The 27417-nt window shown below is 42.8% G+C and overlaps 1 protein-coding gene across 7 annotated transcripts in view; it reads right to left on the bottom strand.

Annotated features, from left to right (window-relative positions):
- Positions 1 to 27417, bottom strand: part of MYRIP (myosin VIIA and Rab interacting protein) — a 451408-nt gene that overhangs the window by 144342 nt on the left and 279649 nt on the right. The window contains exon 1 of one of the 7 annotated variants that reach the window (NM_001284426.2): positions 15730 to 15937. The exons of the other annotated variants lie outside the window; for them this stretch is intronic. The gene's annotated coding sequence lies outside the window, so the exon portion shown is untranslated. Of the gene's footprint in view, positions 1 to 15729; positions 15938 to 27417 lie in introns of those variants that run through there. 7 annotated transcript variants of the gene reach the window in all.

Below are 27417 nucleotides of genomic sequence, written 5' to 3'. Positions count from 1 at the left end.
TACCTGCAGTGGCATGAGCTGTCTCCATGGCAGAGTGAGCGGGCAGGAGGGTGTGGACCTCAGAGCCTAGTTTTGGTGTTTTATATGTGATCTCTTACGGAAGCCCACTTGGAGAGACTGATACTCCATAATAAAATCGTGACATAAATTCTACAACAAAGAGCATCACATAAAAAAAAAAAAAAGAACTGTGAACCAGGGACTGGGAATCTCCAAGTTTGTTCCTGAGTCTAGCTTTTTGAGTGACCTTGGACTTTGTAAATCTCAGGTTTCTCTTCTGTAAACTAAGAGAATAGAAATACCATATTTTAAAGGTTGATTTCAGCTCAGTTCTTAGATTCTAACTCTGGATCCTTAGTGATGTGGTTTGGCTCTGTATCCTCACCCAAATCTCACCTTGAATTGTAATAATCCCCTCATGTCAAAGGTGGGAGCAGGTGGAGATAACTGAATCATGGGAGTGGTTTCCTGCATGCTGTTCTTGTGATAGTGAGTGAGTTCTCATGAGATTTGATGGTTTTGTAAGCGTCTGGCATTTCCTTGGCTTGCACTTATTCTCTCTCCTGCCACCCTGTGAAAGGTGCCTTCCACCATGATTTTAAGTTTCCTGAGGACTTGCCAGCCATGTGGAACAGTGAGCCAATTAAACCTATTTTCTTTATAAATTACCCAGTCTCAGGTATTTCTTCATAGCAGCATGAGAACTAATAATACACTTAGTTAAAATACTAATTTTATTTTTAAACTAATAATGTAATATATACACACAGAGAGTAGGAATGAGACATTTGTCTTCCTTGGATGATCAATTTCACACTAGGAGCAACTTTTTCTTGAATATTTCCCAAATTTTTGGGCTTGGAGATATTATCATATTGATATTTCATATCAGATATACTGATATTGATATTTCATATCAGAAATACTTCATTCTTTTTTCCCTCATTGTAGAATATTCTACTATGGAAATGTATCAGTTTATTCATGCTACTAAATGAGAGACAGTTGGGAGAGTTTCCTAATATTTTGTTATTACAAACAATATTGCAATTAATATTTTTAGGCCCGTGTGTGCATTTCTATATCACATATTTCTAGAAATTAAATGATTAGCTCAAAGGTCATATGCATTTGTAATTTTGACAGCCATTGCTAAATAGTCTTCCCAAGCAGGGAGCTGTATTGATTTACATCCCACTGAAAGCACATTCAAGCACTGCTTCCCCCTTCCTGTTAACACTGAACTACCAAAGCTCTTGATACTGGCTAATCTGAAAAAATTTAATACTTTGTTAATTTGCATTTACTTATTAGAGAAGTTAAACATCTTTTCAAAGGCTTCCTTGTCTCTGAACTTTGCTCCTTTTTTCTTTCTTGGCTTGTTGCCATTGATTTGTGAAAATTCTTAATAAGAAAACTAGTACTTTGTTGTGACAAACATGCTAGCCCATATTTGTAAGATTGTAAATGCCACCCACTTTTATTTTACTAATTTGTCTTTTGATGTTAGCTATGGTATACAGTCATTATCACTTAATGATGAAGATACATTACAAGAAATGTATTGTTAGGCAATTTTGTCATTGTGAGAGCATCATAGAATGTACCCACACAAACCAAGATGGCATAGCCTACCTCACACTTAGGCTACATGGTATGGCCTATTGCTCCTAGGCTACAAACCTGTACAGCACGTAATTGTACTGAATACTGTAGGCAACTGTACATAATGTAAGTATTTGTGTACCTAAACATATCCAGGCATAGAAAAGGTACAGTAGAAATATATTACAATGTTATAGTACCACTGTTGTATATGCAGTATGTTGTTCACTGAAATGTTGTTATGTGGTGCATGACTATATTCTGTGTTGCAGAAAATTATGTTTTATGGTGTCAAAATGATTATTATTTTTTCCTTTAAGTTTTGTGGGCTTTATGTGTTTCCTAGAAAGGCTGCCTCCACGCTAAGATTATAAAAGTAAATTCTTGGCTGAGTGCGGTGGTTCATGCCTGTAATCCCAGCACTTTGGGAGGCCAAGGCGGGCGGGTCATGAGGTCAGGAGATCGAGACCATCCTGGCTAACATGGTGAAACCCTGTCTCTACTAAAAATACAAAAAATTAGCTGGGCGTGGTGGTGGGCGCCTGTAGTTCCAGCTACTCGGGAGGCTGAGGCAGGAGAATAGCGTGAACCCGGGAGGTGGAGCTTGCAGTGAGCCAAGATAGCACCACTGCTGTCTGGCCTGGGCGAAAGAGCGAGACTCTGTCTCAAAAAAACAAAAAAACAAACAAAAAAGTAAACTCTCCCATATATTCTTCTAAGACTTTCATATTTTCACTTTTTAACATTTCAATCTTTGGGCCATCTAGAATTTATTTTAATGTACACTGGGACTTAACTTTGTTGTTTCCAAATGGGTAACCAGTTGTCCCAGCAGTATTTATTAAATAACTATCCCATATGGCTCTGAGACATCACTTCATTTACTAAATCTCCCCATGGACTGAGGTCTTTTTAATAAACTTTCTTCTTGGCTGGGCATGGTGGCTCATGCCTGTAATCCCAGCACTTTGGGAGGCTGAGGCGGGAAGATCACTCGAGGTGAGGAGTTCGAGACCAGCCTGGCCAACACGGTAAAACCCCATCTCTACTGAAAACACAAAAAATTACCCAGGTGTGGTGGCGGGTGCCTGTAATCCCAGATACTCAGGAGGCTCAGGCAGGAGAACTGCTTGAACCCAGGAGGTAGAGGCTGCAGTGAGCCAAGATCGCACCACTGCACTCCAGCTTGGGCAACTGAGTGAAACTCCATCTCAGAAAACAAACAAAGACCTTTATTTTCTTTTGCATTGTTCTGAAGGCCCATTCCTGTATCAGAACCAAACTGTTTTAATGACGCTTCCCTGCATTGCTTCTATGCACCCCTGGGTTCTTAATACAGTCTGGACTAGAGATGGAAAACCTGGAATCCATCTGCATTGGTCCCACCACATTCATAGCAGCCTGGATTTCACATGTTTGAGATCAGGCTCGAGAGAAAGGAGGGATATAATAGATTTTAATAGTTTCTGGTAGGGTGGCTTCTAATACTTGATTTCAGAGGAAAACATCTGCTCTCAGGCTTGTACAATAGTCATGAAAGTAGCCTGTGGATCATGAGGCCACCTGCTTAGAAACAGAAAGGGCAGCCTGTTTACCACACAGAACTTTCTGACAGTTGGTCTGGCCCACATTTCTAGCATTCACTCTACTGGATGAAAAATCCTTATGGAGGCACAAAAGTTTGGACCTGGGAGGGCTGCACGTGCCAATATGTCAACCCTCTCCTCTGACATCTATGACTTCTTTGAGTTTCCACACTGCCACAGTGACCTTGGATCATGCGAGCTCAGGCTCACCGATGGCCAGAATTTGTTGAAATATTAGGACTGCTCAAAAATGCAGCTGGCTGGTAATGGCTCCTACCAGCTTTAGGAAGTGATGGGCTAAACCCATTCCTAGCTTACTTCTACTAGAGTAGAAATTAGAATTTGCTGATTGAGGGTTGGCCCAGTTCAATAATTCATTCCTTCCATAGTTCTCACAAACATTTACTGAGGACCAGTGTGAGTCAAACACTGTTAGGGCCAACGTGTGTGCTTATTTGTCCCTTCCTCCTTTCTTCTTTCACTCTCCTTTCCTCTTTCCCTCCCTTTGCTCTTCTTCCCTCCTCCGCCCCCGCCTCCACCCCCTCATGAGATATTAATTTCTCTATTCCTGTAGAATTCCATGAGCGTATGTGTGTGTGTTCCAGCCTTAATCCACTAAAGTCCCTCCTGTATTAAGAACCCAGGGGTGCACAGAAGCAATGCAGGGAACAATTCAGCTATCCAACTCCCCAGCTCATCTGAGGACCTTAAATCTCTTAAACCCTCACCTCTCTGGTCTGTGGATGAGGGCATCAATACTTAATAATAAGTAACAAGCATATAAAATCACAGATGTTCAGATCAGGAAAGAACCTTTGGGATCACCAAGCCTAATCAGAGAAAGTGGTCAATTCATGTATACACAACTAGTTAGCAAGGCCAGGAAATCCACTAGTTCCCAGCCCAGGGCTCACTTTCATCATAGTATACTTTCTCTTCAACTCCTGGAAATAAACACCACCTGCTTGCCTTCTTAGCACAGTAATTACTCAATTACTTAGTGTACCAAATAATTGGGTAACTTTTTTTTTTCCCAAACGTTCTTTATATGAAATCTACAGGGATCTCCAATATGTCAGATAAAAGCTGAACCATCTTATCGAGGTGTGGACTGGGGACTCAGAGCCCACAAGCCAGGCCTGGGAAGACCCTACAAAACCCCTGGGACTCCTGCACTGTCCACAGTCCCTGGCCACCTTCAGCATCCTTAATTACTCATCAGTCCCATCAACATACTGCCCCCACCCATCAACTCTATAATTTCTTTTATATCACAAAACCTTTGTGTGAATACACTAGCAAATGGGTATTTAATCTTGTTTTCCTTTGAGATTGTAAAGGTTTAGTCTGTACAGTTTCTAGGTGGACATAAAGAAAATCTCATCTCTGAGTCAAGAAGAATTAGTTTTTGAAGCTTAATGCATTCTAAACGGTTTTCAAGCACCATTTGTTGAAGAAGCTGATCAAGAGATGGGATTTTGTTTTCTACTCTAGGGAAATTAACTTGTCTACAAATGATCTGGTCTCGAAGCTACCAAAAATCATATAGGCAGCCATTCTGCTAAACAACTTCCTCCTTCCCTTCTTGTGAACCATCCTGAGCAGTAATGATGAGGAGGGGGCTTGTCTGTAGCCCTGACCACCGGCAATGTCCTAGGAACTCTGAAACCTAAGTGCAAAGAACTGCCTTCTGGGGGGACCCTGGGGTCTAACTTTGCCATTTTCAGGCATCAGACTGAAGGTTTTCCATGCTTTGAGTCAACACCCTGGGTATTCTCTTTATTAGAAGTATCAAAAATGTCTATCTGGAAATTAAGATGCGCAATTGATCTGTTTGCATTCAAAATTAGATGAGTACGCTACACACACACACACACACACACACACACACACACACACACACACACCCCTTCATGAACTGCAGAGTAGCATAAAGACATTTGTGGTTATTTGAGAATAATTACAGAGAGAGAAGTGAAGTTGAGAATAGAATAGGGAGGTCAGGAAGAGAGGAGAGGAGTGGCCTGTGTTTCTGCAGTGAAGCTGTGGAGTGATAAAGGAAGCTGGCACCATGTCCCAGCCTTGGACATGTATGTGGGCCTGTGAAAAGAGGGGCTGTTGAAAGGGGTCAGAGGACACAGGGTGCCCAGGCCTCCCGTGGTTGGTAGGAGAAGCCTCAGATGTCTGGGAAGGGAGGTGTTGTATCCCCAGGTACGCAAGGGCTTCTGACCTCAGCTGCAGCAGGCTGAGCAAGTTAAACAGAATCACCCATTCCTCTCCAACTTTAAGTGTCTTGAGCATCTTTGAGGTTAGAAATCAACATTACTTCTACTCTTGATTTCTCTTACTCACATAACTGATCCTTTGAGGTTACTTCTTTTGGCCTTGGCCTCTTGCCTCTAAACTAGACTTGCTTCAAACTGAACATTTCTCCATAGACTGGAAAGGCCTTTTTTTCTACAAGGCCAGTGCTTTTTATTATGTTCATAAAAACAGGCTTACTTCTGGGCAAAGTAACCTGCAAATAAATGCAAATATGCCCTTTCCAAGGACACAGCCACAGATAAAAGGGCTTTTCAAAGTAAAAATTCCCTGGCTTCTCAGGGAATTCTTCCCACTCCATTCCTGCCTGAGGCTGTATTTCCAATGAGTCTGGCAGGGCCTTGTCCCAAAAGGCCCACTGGTGGGCAGAAGTGAGTAAGAAATGAGGTAACAGGCTGTAAGGCCCATGGTGGGCATCAGGCAGTCAGTTCCAGTTGCACTTATCATAGTTACCCTTTTTCCCTACACATATCTGCCCTGTACTCCTGCAGGAACTCCCTAGGCAGGGACTGTGTCCTGTTCAACTTGATGCTGGGCATTGAGGACATAGCTAAGACAGCAGGGACATGACTAAGACTACCTCCTTGTAGTAGGGTGGGAAGGACATTTCATCATCCATAAAGACAACCCACAGCAAGATTTATCAGTGTCAAATGCATGGCTCAGGCCAAGTCCTAGGGGAGTGTGCAGTGGTCATTATGGGCTGGTCCAGAGGAGTCTATGAGACTATGGAGGACAGAGGCTAGGGATGGTGATCTGGCTTAGCAGTAGTGCCAGGAAGAAGGACACAGGGTTTGTTTTGAAATGGGGCCTCCTCTGCACATTTGGGAGCATATCCTTCCCAACATCAACCTTCCCTGGCCTGAGCCTGCATTCTCCTTCTGAAACTCCTGGCCCCAAGCAGTCCTCCTGCCTCAGCCTCCCAAGTAGCTGGGATTACAGGAGTGAATGAACCACTGTGTCCAGCTCTGCCTCCTCCTTGAAAGGCAATGGCTCTGGGCTCATCTGTTCCCATCTCTTCAGACTTTTGCCCCAAATTCCTCTTCCCTCTCTCTTACATTGTTGACTCCACCCTCTTAACTGGCACCTTCTTAGCATGAACTCGACTAAGTCTCTCTCATCAGTTAAAAATGAACATACTAAAGCCTCAATCCTCTCTCAGTCACTACATTTCCCTCTTGTTTTAAGGTGTAGGTTTGATTATTATTCAGAAGTGGTGAGGCCAATAGATCAGAAGATGACTGCTGTTGAAAAGACAGTTCATTACTCACAGATCCCAAGAGAAAGGGCCACATGGGGAAGCGCACATGTACCCTAGAACTTAAAGTATAATAATAAAAAAAAGAGGCAGAGTGAGGAGTAAAAGTGGGTAATAACCTTTATTGTGTTTCAAAGGAAAGGAACAGATGAGAAAAGGGAAAGAGACTTAGGGTTGGCTTGTTTGAATAATTACAGTAGGCTCTGAGGTAAAGGGATTGTCTCTATCTGGTACCTAGCCCTGGGGTGATTGGGGCAGGGGAACAGTGGCCCTGAATGTGAGAGCCCCATAGAGAAAGTGGTGGGGTGTGGGCTCTGGACTGGTTGGTTTGCATCTGAAAGGCACACCCATATGTGAGCCATTTACTATCTCTAGGAATTGGCAGTCTCTCCAGGAAAGCAAGTCAAAGCATGAATGCAGAAACCAGGAGTCTTAATGCTTACAATCGCAACTTTAGCTTCTGCACTTCCCACTCCCTCCTTAAATAATCCAGTGTTCATTCCTCTGAAATTGCTCTCCCCAGTCAAAGGGTTGCTTTGCTGGTCTTACTTCCTCTGCTGTTTCAGCCCACAGTTTTAGGTGTTTAACCTCCTCATTGTTTCTGAAATGCACTTCTTACTTTGGCTGCCATGATACTCTGACTTCCATAATGCTGGTTTCCTTTCTGTCCCTCATTGTTCCTTCTCCATTTCAGCCTTTTGTAAAGACTCCTCTTCCTCTGCCCATTTGTTGAATGTCAGCACTCCCAGACCTCCATCTCTGCACTTGCACAATACAAGAAGTGGAGTCACCCCAGGGTCATGCCTGTGGTGTCAGCTGGCATCTCTTCTCTGCAAGACCCCTACAGACCCCATCAGCTCTGCTCATTGGATATTTCCACTTCTGTCTCCCACTTCCCACACAACATGCCTTAAATTATAAACTCTGTCTTTTTTCACACAAGCTGGTTGTAGTCCTACATCCTGCACTTCAGTGAGTGCCATCTTCGACTCACCCTCTCTCTCTCTCTCTCTCTCTCTCTCTCTCTCTCTCTCACAAACACTGCTAACTCATAACTAAGTGCTGCAGCTTTTCCCTCCTGCATGTTGGCTGAAACTATGTTATGACTTCATGTCCTCTGCTAACACTTTCCTTCTGTCTCCCACTTGGATCACCACACAAAGGTTTCTAATTAGCCTGCTTATCCAGCCTCTCCCCTCTCTATGCTAATGTCAGAATGGCCATTCTCAAATGTGGGACACGGATGCAGTTGGTTTTGCATTTTAGAAAGATGACTCCCAATTAACTTGGGATAATAGCAGAATGCTTTGTGATAGCATTCCCTTCTGAGTCTGTGATTTGTGTCTCTCCCTCAGACTCACCTCCCATTACCTTGGCATTAGACCTTGTATAAAGTATCTGTCAATTCTGACTTAAAATGCAGTCAGTTAGTTTAGCATCTTGTGCAGATATCTGGAATGTTTCTTTGATCCTTGCCCCTAACAGTACATTATTTAGATTGTAATTCTACTGGCCTTGATGCTTTCAGTTAGCTTTGTTCAGGGATACCTATAATTTTTGCTCTGGCCAGAGACATCATTAAGTCTAAAGACCATGGGCCTTATACCTGCTATTTCCTCTGCTTCCCTCTTTCAGCCAGGCCAACTCCTACTCCTCATCTGATTCAGCCCAGTGATGAGCTCTGTCAAGAAGACCTCCAAGATCAGCCCCCTCTATGCTCTCATAGTCCCCTCTGCTGATTCCTATTAAGGTATTTATTAGGCCATATTGAAATTTCCTGTTTTCTGTCTTTTATACAACTTTATGGCAAGACCAGTAGCATAATTTATGGGGCCCAGTGAAAAAATAAATTCAGGGTCCTTTGTTGAAAATTAGAGTTTCAAGACAACAACAGCAGAGCATTAAACCAAGCTGGAGGCCATAAAGTGACTGCAATCTCATGAAACTGGCCCTACTTACAGGGCAAGGACTGTAATGTTCTCTGTTACATCTCCAGTGCCTGGCCTGGTGCCTGGTCCCCAGCAGGTATTCAATAACTACTTGCAGAATTTATGAATAGGTCAATATGTAGCCATCACAATTGGCTGCCCTCACCATTCAAGTTTTTAAAAAGTTGAGCGCATGGGTTGCAATACTAGCATAATCTATTGATAAGGCACGTAAAGAGTGATAAACATATCAATTATCATCTTATATGTCAATAGGTTTAGCTTCTATTTAATAGACAGATGCTTGAAAAATAATAAAATCAATATCCAATTATATGCTGTTGATAAAGAGCATATCAAAAAAGTCATAGAGAAGATTAAAAATGAAAAAAAGGCCAGAAAGCATCAAGTGGACACAAAGAAAAAAGGAGGGCAAATCAGATGAAACAAAATTCAGGAAAAGCCCATTAAATAACATGGATGATTGTGTTTCCAGTGATAAAAAGGAATAATACATAATTTAAAATATAATAGGCTGAATAACAAAATTTACATATATAAAATAAAATCTGTTAGAAAAACAAAGAGAAATTTTTAAAAAGCATAATGGGGGACTTCAAAAGCTCTCTCACTCTCTGATGGACCAAACAAACAATTTAAATAAGAACAGAAGGAAAGTGGACACTGTTAGCTTGATTGAAAAGATATACCTATGAAAGAATATATAAAATTCAATACCTCTGAAACAGAAAGGGCACTTTTTCCCCCAAATAAGCAAGGAAGATTTATAAAAATGAATCACATCCCAGCAGCCATAAACAAAGCCCAAAATAAATACTGTTCAGGCAAAATTCTCTGACTATTCAAAAGTCAGCATTAACAAACACACAAACATAAAAATTCAAACGACTTGCATATTAGATCTCCATATCCACCAAAAACAAAAATTCTTCTTAACTCTTCTGCTGAAGAAGAAATAACAAATCTAATTACGCTGTTGAGTTTCCTGCAATTTTGTGTTCTTTTCACATGTAGGTGAGACTGGTCTCGGGGGCCTGAGGAAGGGAAGGGGGATGTGATTGTGCCAAGATTGTTTTGTTAACCTGGATATTCACTTTATTATTATTATTTAAGCTATACAAATATATATTATAACTCTCTGGTATGTGATATGCTTTGGATATGTGTCCCCACCCAAATCTCCTGTTCAGTTGTAATCCCCAGTGTTGGAGGTGGGGTCTGGTGGGAGGTGACTGGATCATGGAGTAGAGTTCTCATAAATGGTTTAGTACCATTCCCCTTGGTAACTGATATGGTTTGGTTGTGTCCCCACCCAAATCTCATCTTGAATTGTAATCCCCATAATCCCCACATGTCTAGGGAGAGACCTAGTGGGAAGTGATTGGATCATGGGGGCAGTTTCCCTATGCTGTTCTTGTGATAGTGAGTGAGTTCTCATGAAATCTGATGGTTTTATAAGGGGTTCTTGCCCCTTCCTGCCTCACTCTTCTCTCTCTGCTGCCATGTGAAGAAGGTCCTTTCTTCCCCTTCACCTTCCACCATGATCATAAGTTTCCTGAGGTCTCCTCAGCCATGAGGAGCTGTGAGTCAATTAAACCTCTTTCCTTTATAAATTACCCAATCTTGGGTATTTCTTTAAAGCAGTGTGAGAATGGACTAATACAGTACTGTATAGTGAGTGAGTTCTCACAAGATCTGGTTATTTACAAGTGTGTGGCACCTCCCCTCTCTCTCTCAGTCCTGTTCTTGCCAGTGAGACGCCTGCTCCAGCTTTGCCTTCCACCATGAGTAAAGGCTCCCTAAGGCCTCCCAAGAAACAGATGCCACCATGCTTCCTGTACAGCCTGCAGAACCATGAGCCAATTAAACCTCTTCTCTTTATAAATTACCCAGTCTCAGCTATTTCTTTATAGCAATGCAAGAATGGACTAATACAGTATGTAGGACATATTTCACAACTTAAAAATTTTACTTTAAAATAGAAAAATATTAACCACAATTTAGGAGATGGCTCAGCTGGGAAGCATTTATACAGACATAATAGCATTTATACAGATATAATAATAGAAATATGGCTTTACTGAAAGGTATGGGAATGGGAAGGGAGGCAGGATGAGGTGGAAGAGGCTAAATTCTCCTGTTCCATGATGAGAAGTAATAGATGATGCCTAAAACTGAATAATTAACAAGGAACAACACAGGCAACCTACATAGATATACATCCTGCACCTACATAGAGGAAAATGTTGTCATGAAAATCAGTGAAACAGTTAAAAATGGTTTTAGGGGGTGGGATAGGGCTGAGGGAAGAGGGATGAAAAAAAGAGAAAATGAAAAAAAGTTGAAAGGCTTTTTAGAACAAGTCTTGACTCCTTAAACACTGCAAATATATCTTTAGTAAAAGTAACAATGTAAAAATAAAGCACAGTATAAGTTGTCTTATTGTCAAGAACAATATACGCATTCAGGACAAGTTTAGAAGCTAATATTATAAGACTGTCTCTTTGTGTCTTGGATTAAAAATCTCAGTGACAGAATTATGTATGTTTAGATTAAAAATAACTCAGACGGAAGTGCACCTGCTGTGCCAGGAAAACTGTGTTACATGACTCAGAATGGGTCTGATGATGATGAGAATGTTGACAGAGAATGTTGACACTGAAAATACAAAACAAGAGTTTGGGTAAAACTGGTTCATGAAATGAGAAAAGAAAAATCACAGTAGTTCCCAATTAGTATATGACTATACATAATTAGTGACTTTAGAAGTGTGCCTGTTACGATATTAGTAGATTGACATTGCAAGTAGACACCGATTACTTCATCTATACCTCTAAAAGTTTAGGTATCAAAGATGGACATAAGAATTCTACTTTTGTTCATCTTCTCACTGAGAAAATGGAGAATATTATTTGGGGTGACTTTAAATTCTAGCAAAAATGATCTATGTTTTGGGTTTCTGGAAGTTTTTTCTAAGTATGACACTAAAGGTAGGAACCATAAAATAAATATTGAGATATATTATCATACTAAAATTTAAAACTACCAGAGACATGGTATTTAAAAAATGACAATACCTAGAAGTGGCCACTATATAGCCCAACAGGCACTCTCCTGCACATGGGGTTTGAACTGATCTGTTCTTCCAGGAGACAGACTTGGTGGTATGCATCAAGAATCCAAAGTACTTACAGGTATTTAGACTTATGTGCAAAGATGTGCACAAGGCAGTTCTTCACAGTGAGTCATAAAAGTAGTTACAAAATTATATATTTAACAATAGGATATTGCTTCATAAAGCTTAAAGTGTATCTACCATATTGATGGCATACTGTCAACATTCTAGAAATTTTTTTACATAAAAATATTGCTCTGTAGGAAAGGTTACTAGATAATTCTTGCCACTTAATAACCCTATTTTATATCAAAATTTTCTTCTTGGTGTTTTCCTAATTTATTACCTGTTCTTCTGTAGCCAGAGTTTTTTTTTCTCTTTTTTTTAGACAGAGTTTTGCTCTTGTTGCCCAGGCTGGAGTGCAATGGCACGATCTCGGCTCACTGCAACCTCCGCCTCCTGGGTTCAAGCGATTCTCCTGTCTCAGCCTCCCAAGTAGTTGGGATTACAGGTGCATGCCACCATGCCTGGCTAATTTTTGTATTTTTAGTAGAGACAGGGTTTGTCCATGTTGGTCAGGCTGGTCTCGAGCTCCTGACCTCAGGTGATCTGCCCACCTTGGCCTCCCAAAGTGTTGGGATTATAGGCGTGAGCCACCACGCCCAGTTCTGTGGCCGGATTTTATCTTCACAATACAAACAAAAAACATTCATGCCCTTTCAGACCCCAAGGTTCCCAAGATTCTGAGTGTGTACATTAGATGAAGTTCACAGGCGTTCTGCCATTTCATCTGGGTCTTTAAGAGTATGTATGAGAGTTCTTGGGGCAGGCAGTGGGGCAAGGGTGCCTAGGCAGAGAAAATGCTATCTTAAAAGGCTTGGTGTGCTTGAAGTACATGCAGGGAGGAGGGTAGAAAGCATGCAGGAGCCACTGCTGTGAAAAGCATGTATACTAGGTGGGCACACTGTGGGAGGAGATTTGACAGGCAAGCTGGAGCCAGGTGCTGAAGGCCTTGAATGTGATGTTCAGGGGTTGATGGAGAATCCTGGAAAGTTTTAGGGCAAGAAGATGGCAAGAGTGGTGATATACTGCAGGTGTCTGGATGTCACCTCAAGTGACACTGCTTTTCAGTCTTCTGCTTGTGACACATTAGTGGGTCAAGACCATCATTGAAAACAAACAAACAACCTAAATAGAATAGAAATACCTGAGTGCTTGGCCCGTAGAAGGGGTTAGTACTGTCTTGTAAAACTTTTGCTTTTCTGTACAGTTTTGTTTGTAGGAGTGTGTAGGTATCTGTCTCTTAGATTGTGAGAGTAAATAGAACTTCTTAATGTGGGTCAAAATAAGTTTGCAATCCATTGCTGAATCCCCTATCAGGCCTCCCCTAGCACCATCCTTCTCCAGGGTGTACATACCTAACTCTGAGATGCCAGAGGTGACACTCCCGGCTGCTACAGAGAAATCACATCTTGTACCACTTCTACAACCTTACATTGTTGCCACAGTTTCCCAGGGACATCCTCATCTGGCCCAAATGCCACTACTGGAACCAGGAGTCAAGGACTGGGCTTCCACTTGAATAAGGCAAATTAAACCCACACATTTACTTCTGCTGTCTCCTAAATCTCATTAAAATACAAACAAGATACAAAAGTCAAAACTCCTATGGGGCCACAGTAATAACATCTGGGAAGCTAGAAAGCAGGTGAAGCATAAGTAAATGACTCAACACCCTGGAGAAGCTAAATCCTGATGCTGCAGTGGGAAGCCTGATTCATATATCAGAGCCCCATCAAGGCTCAGGAATTACAACCATCAGTTACCTTTGGAAGTGAGAATGCAGGCAGATGAAATAGTTAGGCCTCTAGTCCCCTTTTATACTGTGCTTACCCAGGATACTTCCCTCATTCATCTCAGAAGACTTGAGGTTTACTCCTTAGAAAGGTTAGCATAGAGGGACTCTGAGACCAGGGCTCCAGGCACATCAAGGGCAGGGGCACCCACAGGAAACATATTAGTGAGTGCTGGGCTTGGCCTTGGCCCCCATCTGTCACTGGGCTCCCCTGAACTATCAGACCTACATCCCCAGTAGGAGACTGGAGCATTCCTTTCTGAGAAACTGACCGACTCTAAAGAAAAAGACCTACTGACAGTTCTCCCAATAAAACAGTCCAGCCAGATCATCCTAGGCTGAAGCCAACCAGTCAATAAGCCCTACTGAGGCCCACTAACCCTCAGATCAGCTTTCAGTGCATCACTATTAAAGGTAAACTGCCAGTCCTGGGTCATGGGATTCTTGAGCAAAGTTGCTATCGTTAAAGATAAATACCAAAACAAACACAATAAAGAAAGTTGAAGGAGAAAAAAAACTTCAAAAATGATTAATAAGAATATATTGCAGGTATGAAGCAATAGCATTACATAGTAAAGGGAATATAGAAACAAAAATAACTCTCAGAAATAAAGAAATTATTGTGTAAATTAAACACTTGATAGGATTGATGATGAAATTGAGGATATTTTCCAGAAAACAGGACAAAGAGAGGAAAAAAGAAGAAAAAAGAAAACTAGAGAATTAATCTGAGAGGTCTAATATCTTTACTTCAGAAGAAACAAAGAAAATGGAAGAAAGAAAATAATCAAAGATGTAATTCAAGAAAGTTTCTCAAGCCTGGAAAAGCTATCCAAAATGAAATGGTTCTCTAAGAGCTCAAGTACAGTGGCAGAAATAAAGACCCAAAGGAAAGACATTGGTGAAGTTTTATAACACTGAGACCAAAGGAAAGAGCCTAGAAACTTTCAAAGAGGGGAAAAAGCCACATAGAAAGGATCAAATATCAGAATGACTCAACAGCAACACCAGAAAGCTGCTTTTTATGATTATAATAATAAAACACAGAAAACTGATGTAACAAAGACTATATTGCAGATATACTGGGAGAATGGAGGAAAGGGGGATATGTATGTGTTGAGTGTTGGAGGTGTTGAAAACAAAACCTTTTCATAGAAGAAAATAAAGATATAAGCTGTAAAAACAAAAAGGGTAAGCATATTATTTAGAAATTTGGAAGTAAATACTGAAAGAAAGCTAAAAGTTGAAAGTGGTGTGTAAGGAGCACAGATGGGGTGGAGTGGGGTGAGGGGCTTTTTTTTCTTTTCAATAAGTCAAGAGAATTATTTGATGTTTTAAAGTCTATACATTCATGACTTGGATTAAAATAAAATTAAATAAATAAGAAAAAGATCCAAGGACTTCGTTTTTAGCTTCAGGACCCTAAGAAATCTCTTAATGTCCCTCCTGGGTGATGGATATAGTATCATGCTGTGTCATCTTTGTCAAATCCATGCTTACACAATGAAATTTCCTAGAACATTCAGGTCTCATCAGTTGCTGCTCAAAAAACATGTATGTTGGGTTAGCCCAGAGTAAGTCAATGTTCTTAAACTCACATGTGACTTTCCCACTCCCTGCTGGAATAAACTAAGAAGTTTAGTCCCAGCCTCAGAGATAGCACATCTGCAGCAAAGGCAGCCACAGCTACAACCCTCACCACATCAGGTTTCTGTTTTATCAATAAAAGAATAAAATTCTACCTGTTTTTGTAAAGCAGTCAATAAGGAGAGGAGAAATACTTTTTCCACCCATATTGTTGAAATAGAGCCAATGGTTTAAAATGCTCTTCCTTTATGATTTATTTCTTAATGTTTGCACAGATATGCATATGCAAAATGCTAAAAAATGTACAAAATAGGACAAAATTGACATAGTTCTGTTGCAAAACATCAATGAAAACAATCAGGCAATGTATAATAAAGGATTATAGTACATAATCAATAATAGCAAATTGTGAAATAAAGGACAAGTCAATGTTGCTTAATTATTAAAATTACCGTAACTGGTGGTTTTCTTTCTGCCAAGCTCTTCTACTCAAATTTAGCTCACGTGTCTTGAGAAATAATTAAACGCCAGGACACAGGGCACAGAGCTCCAAAATCTTCACTCCATGTCCTCATGGCCAGAAAAGCCCAGACAGAGGATAAGCCAGGTAGTCTTCTTAAGAAAAGACACAGGGCTCTGGGTAGAGAGCAATACCAGAGTGAAGGAACAGCACAGTGCTACTGCTCGTTTCTATTACCAGTTTCAGAAGGGAGGTGACGGAGAGCTGTGAAATCTCAGACAACCAATGCCGAGAAAAATCCATCAACACATGTGCAACAGGGAGAGAGAGGCACCAAAGCTCATTTAAAGCTGCCCGGTTTAATACAACTTTGTAGGGGAAATGTTACATGAATTTTTACTTTTTTTTCCCACTTTCTTGGTTTGTAAATTCAAGATATGGAAGAGCCAAAGACATGGTTTTATCATGTGCTTTCTTGTCAGTCACAGACTATGAGGTTTGCTTTAGCTAAATGTTCTTAATACAAACATGCTTCAAATAGCAGCAAGAGACTGTACAGAGGGAAGGGAATAATTGGAAGAGAAATCTCAGGGGATCTTTTTTGGGCAGGGCAAATCAGTACACTCCCTGTGGTATAAGAAAAGCACGAGAGTGTGTGTATATATATGTTTGGCCCCATTCATGTTGACTCCAGTGCATGTGTAAACATATACTGTGATGGAGAGTATGTGACCACTCCCTAGCCCTGTGGCCACAGGCAAATTATTTTGCTTCTATGAACCTCAGTATCTTTATTTGTACAAATGGCTATCATCCTCACCTTCACCCTGGTTTCATAAATTTGTGGAAAGGACCTAAAGACATCATGCTCATACTCCACCAAATTACAATGCTTTGCATATTATAGTGCTCAAATATTAGTGCCCTCTCATCTGCAAAGTACTATTATTAATAAGCATAGCATTTTTCTCAGACCACATAAATTATGAAGAAACTATCTTAGACTAAGAAGAAACACATTTTTTTGTAAATCCAGACACTTTCTTGAAATGTGCCTCCTGCAACACCCATCCTCTTCTGATGTGGGTCCCCCTCCCTTCTACATAGGCAGGGCAAAATCGGGTGGTCACCAGAAAGTTCTACAGGAAAAGCTGGTTAATTGTCCAGTGCACTTCCAAATGCCAGTTCTCAGCTGGGCCAACCTGTTTTCTATCCAAAACCAGATACTTTTCAGATAAAATTACATTCTGGTGCTGAATGAAACAAACAAGAGATCTTGACTTGAAATTCCTAATCAAATGTACACACACACACACACACACGCACACACATGCACACCCACACACCCTCTTAATATATGCCTGGAGATAGCTGTTTGTTTTGCATTTTTGGAAATGACTGTAAAATGTCAATAATAATCCCAGATATTTCTTTAGGTCATTTTATCTCTGATCTGTAAGAAGACACACACACACACACACACACACACACACACACACACAATGAGAGAGACAGAGAGAGATACACACATCCAGAAGAGAAGGGGACAGAATATTTGATCAGAAAAATTGAGAAAGAGAAGGGGACAGAATATTTGATCAGGAAGAATATGCATATGCCTTTATTGTGAAGAGGTTGGTAGCACTAGCTTCCCTCTGTGAGTATGCATGGATGATTCAGAATATTCATGAAGACCCAGGGCACTTTGCTTACAGTGCAACACTGTTTATGTAGAACTTAGATAGAAAAGGATCTGCAGATAAACAGAGTGTTAGGAGGGAAGAAAAAAATCAGTCTTTTTTTGCCCACTGCCAACTACCCACAGCTGCTACCAAAGGGTCCCTCTTTTCCAGACAAATGCACACATGCAAAATTCTGCTCACACTTTTATGGAATGTATTGCATTACAAATGGGTTCATACCACATATGCAGGCTATACATAAAAACTTTGAAAAGGGGCATGCCTCATTTTCTGGCAAAAATCAATGGCCTTACTTCTTAAAAAATGGAAAGAAATGTATATTTAGCAAATAAAATGCAAACTTAATGCACTTCTACTTAAATATACATATCAAAAAGGCTGCTGTTGTTGTTTGACTTGAAAAATAAGTTGAAATCATGGAGTGGTCTCTGATGGGGCCCAATACAGGTCATCCAACCCGCTAATCCATTCTGACTTTTCATTTTGATAGTGAAAGTGCTAATAACTCTGATTTAAAAGGGAGTGCAGTACTAAACTCAGATCAGAGTGTCCAGGGTTGCTTTGACAGAGAAGAGCAGATGAGGAACACCAGCTCTCTCTAACACTCTTCCAGCTGAATTCCTGTGGCAACACTTCATTCTCTTTAAGTCACTGAGCTCATTTTCCACCCCTGTTGCTCATATTGTCAGTGGAGGATCACAAGTACCCCTTCTAGAGTCCAAATAGTTTGAACAGACGAGACCACCAAATGGGTTCTGCAGCATTTCCATGCCTCTGCAGACTTCTGTCTACAGAGACACAGGAGGCTCTGAGCTCTGGTACCATCCCGTGGGACACTTCCTCAGGAATGGAAATCGTGCACATTTGTTCTCAATCCCCACCTCCAGGGTGGGAGCCTGGCCAAAGATCTCGTGCGTGTAGGTGGAGAGGGGGTGTTTTTTATTTTAACATTACCCATCGTGGTGGACTTCACGGCTCTGAATAGAAAGATCTACTCCATCTGTATATAGCCAGAAATATCTCCCAAGAGAAGCCTTGAATAAATTGCTTTGAGAGGGGACTTTTTTTTTTCCTACCAAAATTGAAAACACTGACCAAGATTCAACTGAGTACCTTAGAACTCACTCTTTGGAAAGCCCACAGATTTGTGAACTCTTTTGTGGGCACTATAGGTCAGAGGATAAGAATGCCAACCCTGGAGCCAACATACCTGGATATGAATCCTGACTCTTTGACTTCCTCTCTGTGAGACCACAGGCAAGTTACTTGATCTCTCTTTCTTTAGTTTCTGCCTTTGTAAAATGGGTAAAGTATATCTGCCTTATAGAGTTGTTGTGAGGGTAGGTGAGTGCTTAGAACCGTACAGGAGTCAGCTCTCAATAATTTTAGCTATTATACAGAAAAGTAATTAGTTTCCTATTCCCATAAGCTTTTCTTCTTTTGGTCGTGGTTGGTTTTATTTGCAAAGGCAGTGAGTCAAGGTCTAGGCTTCACTGAAGAAGTCAAAAGCCTCCATGGCAACAGAGGAGCCTTTTACTGAGTTGTTGGCAGGGCTGCTGATAGCCAGGCAAGCTGATGCAGAAGGTGAGGAGTTAGGACGATGGGCGGAGCGTTTTGCTTCACCCAAACAGTAAACCAGGGGCTTTGCCAAGCAGCACAAGCTTTGCCAAGCTACATCTCAGAGTGCCCAGATTTTTCTTACAGTTGTTATTTTGCCTGGTGAAGAAAGTTTTCATTATTTCAAAGATGCCGATGCCTTTGCCCAATGCCACATTGTGATCCACGCTCTCAGCCCTGCTGCTCTGAGATGCAGGCCCTGTGGAATCTGCCAGGCTAGACCCTACTTGCTTAGGCTGCTCTCATAGCAGCTCCCCTGGGGCTGGTCCAGATATCCCACCACAGAGTCCTCCTAGTGAGATCATGCAGGAATTCTGGCCTGAGACGGCCATTCCTGTATCCAGAGCTGAAACAGACCCATTAAAAGTGATCTTTTACTTCTTTGGTCATTTTGCTGTGGTTGCGGGGAGTCAAACTCATGAACTCAAAATTACCTGTACACACAGGTTCCTGCATTGATTTATGAGGCTCCCTTTGCCATATGCTAAATTTGACTTTATCCTCACAGCACCTCCCTTATTACACAATGAGGATTCAGGATGTGTGAGATGCACTTCAAATGAGAAGAGAGACATGAGAAAATACTGCCCTACAGGTCCAGAGAGCCGGGTTTCATCCCCACCGCTGTCACAGTGACTGTGTGACCATGCCCAGGTCACCCCTTTTTTGACTACAGCCCTCTCACCTGAGGCACTCTGTGAGAGCGTGAGACTGCTCTTTGAGGATGGAACACCGGTTTAGGATTTGACTGCCATCTCGGGTATATCTAGAGGTAGAATGGCCCGAGAAAACCTATGAAGGCCAACCTTTGAAGGGACAGCAGTCACAGACATGGTCAGAAGGCTCAGGGTTGGGGGTGTGGGTGCTGGAGTCTGGGGGAGGGGGGATGGTGGAGTGTTATGGTATGGAGTGTGAGGGGGAAGTGTGCATGAGAGTGAGAGAGATTGGGTATATCATGTATGTGTATGTGAGAGAAATGGGGATGTGTGTGTGTGAGAAAAAAGGATGGGGAGAGGGAAGGTGCTGAGGTGGTAGGAGAAGGAGAAGGAGGGAAGGACAAGTGGGAGAGGGCAGAGGGAGAAAAGAGGAGGATAGAAGAGGGTCTGTGGAGTATGTAGGAAAGATGTGTGTGACAGCATACTGTGAGGGAAAGAGGGAAAGGGAAAGAGGGAGGAAGGGCAGAATCGAGGGAGGCAGAGAGATGGCAGTGTTAGTGAGTGTGCAGATGTGTGTGACTGCATGTCTGCCTGTGGTGTCTCTGCATTGGGGGTGGCTGTGTAGAGGCTGGAGTAGTATACACAGCCCCTGCCCACGCATTTCTCAGAAACCTCTCTGAGCTCCCTGGAGAGCATCGTTAGGGGCTTCGGGAAATTCTCCCCCCATGACTACCTTTAAAACAAAGCTGGCTTCTCAGAGTGTGAAGGCAGAGGATCAGGACCCTCTCCTGGGGTCCTGCCCCTCTTTTCAGGGCCAGGCTCGTGGGCTCTGGGTGTCTGGAAGTATGACACTAAGCTGGATGTGCCAGTCACACATTAGCTGGGGGTTCTCAGAGCAGCAAAACCTGTGAAGGCAGAAGCTAGAAGCGGACTCACCCTCTCTGCTCAAAGAAGGATGCCATGACCTGTTTATAGCCCCAGGCCTGACAGTCTTCCCTGAAGGGACTTGAGGAATGGGAAGTCAGAGTCAGAGGAGGTATAAGGTCAGCTTGAAAAATCTTGAAAGGAGATTGTAGTGGAAAGCTGGCTTTCAAGGCCTGGCATCCATTAATCCTTTTCCTGGTAAAAGTGTCCCCCTGCCTCCCCTCACCCCCAACTCTTGCTCTCGGGTGGGGCTGACCTCACTCCCAGCTTTAAGAATGGGTCTTGCTTGAATCAGGGTGTCTCCCCAGCCACAGCAATTAGGTGAGGAGGAGACAAGTGACCTCACATCAGACTCGTGTTAGCCATGCTGAGGACCTTTGTTCAGTGTTGGGGAGGGAGGTGGTTTCTGAGGCTGAGTGGCTGAGACACAGAGGGGCCAGAGCTCTGGCAAAGCCATCATCTTGCTATTGTAAGAAGTCTGAAACTGCAGCTCATCAGCAGAAAGCAACAGCAAAAGAACTGAGCCCTGAAGGTATAGTTTGAACTCTGAATCCAGTCATACCTGAATCCAGTCTACTCTTGAATGTCTTCAATTACACAAGCTAATATATATTCCTGTTTCTTTAAGCGAGGTTGAGTTTTCTGTCACTGGTAATCCATAGAGGCCTGGCTGAAACAGAGGGGAATGGGATTCCCAAACACCTACTGAGAATCTACAATGTCCTGGGCAGGAATAGCCACAGGTACCAGAGAAGGAGGTGACTAAACATGAGATTCCTATCCCTTAGGGACCCCTGGGCACTAGGGCAGGCAGATGTCTGAACAAAAATCCAAACTAGCAACAGATGTCCTTGTGCTGCAAAGCAGGGGAGGTGGACAGCATTACTCCAGAAGCCAAGATGGAAGGCCAAAGGCAAGACTGAGGAGTTAGGGCGTGGAGGTGCCATGGTGTAATAAACACCAGCTTTAGAGACAGACAGACCAAGCTCTGAGTTCCAGCTCAGCCTCTTAGTCTCCATTTATTCACTTGCAAAAGGGAAATGGTAACAGTCTTGTTTCATAGGGTTGTGATAAAAATTAAATAATCAGCTATTAAGACTTATTTCTTGAGCACCTATCATGTACCACAAACTGTGGAAAACAAGATGAGCAGAAACAGAGGGAGCTAAATCCAGTGGGGTAAACATCACCAGATGGACATAAACTCACTGGATAGCAGTCTGTGATGATGGAGTTGTGGCATGGAGGGGAGGTCTGAACAGCAGAATAAAATTGGGACATGTGAAGGGGGAGGGAAGGGGAAACTTTCCAGGCAGAGGAAATAGCACGTGCAAAGGCCTTGTGGTAGGAGGTAACAGGAAAGTAGGAAAGACAGAGTGTCCCCCATTATGAAGAGAGAGGGGTGAGGGGAAATATACAGGTGGAAAAGCTGGTGGGCCAACCCTGCAGGCCTTCATTGGATGTTATGGAGTTCTGTCTTTATCTTAAGAGCAGAGGAAAGCATAGATGATTGCCTCTGGATAGTTAGGAGTTTAAAGCAAATTGCTATTGCTGGTTTTGCATCCAATTGCAATGGTGGTGTAGCTAGTCTGAGAACAGACACTGGGAGAGAAGTAAACTATGACCAGCTTGGTGCCTCTCACTTCTGTTTGAAAAATGTTGAGACAAGAATGAGCCCAGGTAAAGTGCACTGCTATCCCAGTGTGAGAGCAGGAGCTGCTAGCTGGGAATGGTAGACTTGGTCCCAGGATCCCCTCACGGGGTAAACATACCTGATAGCAATAACTTAAGCATACCCTTAGAATGACCCTGCATAGCTGGTCTGCATAGTTGGAACTGAATGTATGTTCCAACTAGAGAATCTGGGCATGATCATCCTGGAGATGCATTCCTTGTCTATGAGGAACATCTGAGCCCCTGTTCGGTCCTGTGGAACACAGGCCATAGAGAGGATTGAGGTCTTGGGTTTTGGGTTGAAGGAAGATTGCCAGGTGGTGGTTATTAAGGGGAGAGTGTTAAGTAAAAATGCTATATAAATTTCACGCTGTTTGCATGAAGTTGTGGTTTTTCTGCAAAAAGCCTGCAGCCACTGGGTCACTGGACTGTACATAAGGTGGATATCTTGTCTAGCCCGATGACACTGAACTGCTTCTGTACATAAGTTGGTTCTCCTGTCTAGCCCATCACTACTGGGCTCTCTCTTCTGTATGTAAGTCCCCTAATAAAACCCTATGCTTGTTTGCTGGCTGTGGGTCTCTTCTTTGGCCTCTTGAACCTGGTGCTTCCTTGAGGTTAACAGGGAGGGGTTCAGCACAACAGGGCCAGAGGTACCAGGCCTAGGCTTCAGCTCCCTGGGAGATTCTGGGAGGGAGTCACTACTAAGTACAAATCTGTGATGTACCAAAGGACTTGGACCTCCTGGAACATGAAGCCCACTAGCAGACTAAACTCCTGCGACGGGAACACAGAAGACAGACTAGCTTCTAGAAGCTGGTGGTGGTAACCTCAAGTTCCTAGGTAATCTGAATGAGATGGTGGAAATATTTTGGATTTCAGAGCCAAATAAACTGTTTCAAATCCAAGCTCAGTGCCTTATTTGCTGGGTGACTTGGAGCAGCTAATGAACTTCTCTCATCTCATCTCCTACTATGTAAATAAGGGCCAATACCTACTTTGTTGACTTTCTGGGGATTTGTTGAACTAATGTATATGACATACTTAGCACCCAGGAAATGTACCATGACTTTAAGAACCTTCACCTTCCCTTCACAGGGTTCTGGGTGACCAACCTGAGCCACATGTTAAAAGAGGGATCCTAGACGGTCCCAAGCACTGCCAAAAGCTTCCCAGAGTAAAGCCCTGGATTTTTCCTGAATGCCCCTCCATCAGCTTAAGAACTTGCCTGGTGAAGACAAAGTTCACCTGGGAGAGGGTTTTGGGGAGGCATAGCTATCCCTTACAGTGTGGGTGAGTATCTTTCCCAGCCCTTCCTGGCAATTGCTGTCATCAGGGAAAAGGGAGGGAGCCCAGGAAGCATGCAAAACAGCCAGGAAGACATCTTGGGGGCTTTAGGGTGCTGATGATGAACAAGCAGCAAAAACTCTAGGCAGGGTCTCTGAATCAAGATTTAGTGGCAGCTTCAAAAGCTCAAGGGCTGACTTGGAGCTCCAGATGTACCTCCTTTCACAGTCATCCAGTGTGAGGGGCTCTGTGTCTTCAGAATGAGCACAGACTGGCAGGTTGGGGAAAAAGAAGGTAAACACACACTGCACAAGAGACATTTCAGGACAGAGTCCATTTCAAGGCTTACAGAGCTTCTGACAAGCAATTTATAGCTTGTGAAATGTATTCTAATGTGTCTCTTTGCAATATCATCTCTTTCCATGCAAATTCAATACTTGGCACCATTACCAGGGAGTAGAAAATGAAGACTTCTTTGGGCAATTTTAGTACAGAAATGCTCCTTCTGGGAGGTTCTGGGAAGAGGAAGAGATAATTGAGAAAGAGCATTTATCTTGTTTGAATTCTCCCTCAACCCACCCGGCCCCTGATGCTGCTTGGACAAGAATCCTGCAGTCTAATTTGTAGATCAAATGCATTATTAGATGTGAGAATTAGAAGTGACAAGCAAAATGCCCTGTTGCCATGATGGGAATACTCATTAAACCATTCCTGTCTAGTATTTCAGATACAACACAAGTCAGCTAAGAATATACTCAGCAAGTGTCTGCAAAAGTGTGTGCTTAGTATTTCAATTAGACAACAGGAAGAGGTCTGGGGTGTTTGTGATTTGCCACATGACCATTAAATTTACTATTTACTAGAGAAATCCATATTCTTTAATTTTAAAAAAGTGGCTAGTACTAGAAGGAAAGGTTTTACTAAGGTGAAGCATCTGGCCAGGAAACCCAAAATGTTGGTCTCACCCTCATAGCCAGACCCTCTTCTACTCTACCCTCTCAGTTAATAGTTGACCCCTTCAGTGGCTCAGCTGGGGATAATCCCAGCATAACAGGTCAGTGGCTAGTACTAGAAGGAAAGGTTTTACTAAGGTGAAGCATCTGGCCAGGAAACCCAAAATGTGGGTCTCACTCTCATAGCCAGACCCTCTTCTACTCTACCCTCTCAGTTAATAGTTGACCCCTTCAGTGGCTCAGCTGGGGATAATCCCAGCAGAACAGGTGAGTGGGCCTGATCAAGGCTCAAATGAAGGCTCCAGAGCCACAAAGGAGTGGTGAACACAGAAGGGGCCTTAGGCTGGCTCAGCTCTTTGATGCGCAGAGGGCTGCTTCCTGCTGAGGGCTGCTGTCTTCCTATGGTAGGTGCCACATGTGCTCGCTTGCCTGGAAGCACACATATGGACCTCCTGAAGTCCACACCCAAGAAACCATGACTGAAAGAAAGAAACGGCATCCTCTGCTTCTTGAAGATCCCCCTCTGTTCCACCTGCATGTTGGAGGAGACAGCCTACTTAAGGTTCCACAGCCCACCAAACTACAGTACAACTCAACACTGTATGTCCTCGATACCCATTCAGGAAACATACACCAAGTAGAAGTAGGACACTACTGTTGAGGAAAGGAAGGCACAGAAACACATGCCGCATAAAATGTCAGCATTTACTACCCTTTTATTTCTGAAAGATATTCTGAAATAGCCCTGGACAGAGAAACGCATAAGCCAGGAGGTTTGTTAGACAATCAGTTAAAAGTGAATGAAGCTGTTCATCTGAGTTAGGGTTTCCTTTCTTAAAACTGAACCCTATGCTGTAATGCTTCCAGCTGACTTGCTCTTAGAGGCTAGTAGCCATCCTTCAGCAGAAATGATGATAGGTAAAAATCTAGCTGGCCAACAAGGAACGAGGGTTTTTTCAAGGACTTGAGCCTCACACCCCACACCAGATGGTCACTTGTCATATGCAAAGACAAACTCCCCCACTGCCCCTTCCTTTCCTCTTTTCCCCAACTGTCTTAGGGAGTCCTAATGCTCTCCAATTCCAAGGGCATGGAATGCCTGAACACAATCATACCCTTCACAACTTTGGTGAATTTCAGCACAGAGCACCTGTCCAGCTCCTCACCAGCCAGCACCTGGATCTCTGAGGAATGTGTCACAGGGCTCCGTGATCATCATAATCTTCACAGATGAGGCCCAGAAAGATCAGGGATTTTGTACAAGGTCTCAAAGCTCACCATGCAAGAAAAAATGAACAGAAATAAAACTGAACATGTTGATTATTCTTGATGAAATTTTGAATGCAAGAAGTATTCATGAAGTGTTTTTCAGCATCCAGTAACACCACACTAGATACAATAACTCATAAGAGAGACTTTCCCAAGGTCATAAATAAAAGAATTGAGAGAAGCACTTTTATATTATTAGTAGAGGTATATGCAGTGTAGGGTGTGACTTTGCTTGACCTTTTCCCACTGAAACAGACTCACAGGCTTTTGCATTATCCACATTTACCTTGGCCTAAAGACCCTCTACGTAATTTTGGAGAAGAAAATAGAAATCTATAGAAAATGGTTTTTAAGGAAGCAAATGCAATTCTGCATGAACGATCCATTGCCAAGGCCATTAAAATATAATAAGCCAGCAACATCCAACAGAGAGAGGCCCTTCCCTTGGAACAAACATATAAAAGCTTTATGATAATATTTCTGTAAACCTCAGAAAACCATTCTAGAAAGTCTCATGTCTCCTTTTTGCCTTTGTTTGTTTTTGGCTATTACTTGAGTTAATTTTTTTGAGTCTCAGTCAAATCCAATAAACACTTCTAGCATTTAGGCACAGCCTATCTAGGACTCCAGTTCCACTGCTATGTTACTACTCTCCAGTCTCATGCCTGGAAGAACCTGCATGGAAAGCCGCCAAGCTTAAAGATGGCTTCAAGGGTTGTAAATGAAAAAGGATGATGTTCTAACAGCCTCTGTATGCATCAATTTCTTCAGGTACAAAATTGAAATAATGGCTCCACACACCTCATGGATAGTTGAAAGTTTAAAATAACACAATGCAAGCAAAAATGCTTCTTAAACTTAAGTGCTTAGTAAGGAAAGACTGAATACTTCTTAATAACTAAGAGTCCAGTTTTGGATTAAGTTGGCAGTCAGATACCTACTTTCCCCATCCAACCCTTTCTCCTGTCACCTAGTGTCTCCTGTCATATAGCAGTAAAACTGGAGTCCTAGGTGTGCTGTACACCAGAGGGATCCCAGGCCCTCACATCCATGCATCATCCGCCCTGTAAGCTGCTACTTTCTGGGGCCGCCTCCCTGGGAATGACACCAGCATCTACGCAGGTGCCCAAGCTGCAATCACTCCTGACTCCTCCCTCCCCCACACCCTCTGCATGCCTAGATCTCTCTCTCTCTGTGTCTTACCATTCCTCTGGTTACCACCAAGGCCAAGTCCTCATCCCCTGCCATGGATCACTACAGTGGCCTCCTTCCTGACTTCCTGCCTCCAGCCAGCAGCCAGAGCCATTGTCTTAAAAACATGAATCTGAGCATGCCAGCCTCTGCCAAAAATACCTAATGGCTGTCCTCTGTTCTCAAGATAATCCTACTCCCTACCAGGGCTGAGAAAGCCCTCTGGGGGCTGGGCCCTGCACTTCTTCCCAGCCACAGGCTCCAGCCACAGAGATGGGCTCTGGTTTCCTGGCTCACATACCTAAGGGCCTCTGCACTGCCTGCTGGGTGACCTCCCAGCACCAGCACTAGCTCTGTAGGGTTGGGGCTGATGGTTTTCTGTCTCCCATACTAGACTCTGAGGTCC

Source organism: Homo sapiens, chromosome 3 (assembly GCF_000001405.40).
Source record: "Homo sapiens chromosome 3, GRCh38.p14 Primary Assembly".
NCBI classification, from domain to species: Eukaryota; Metazoa; Chordata; class Mammalia; order Primates; family Hominidae; genus Homo; species Homo sapiens.
This window is presented reverse-complemented; position numbering and strand designations above follow the sequence as displayed.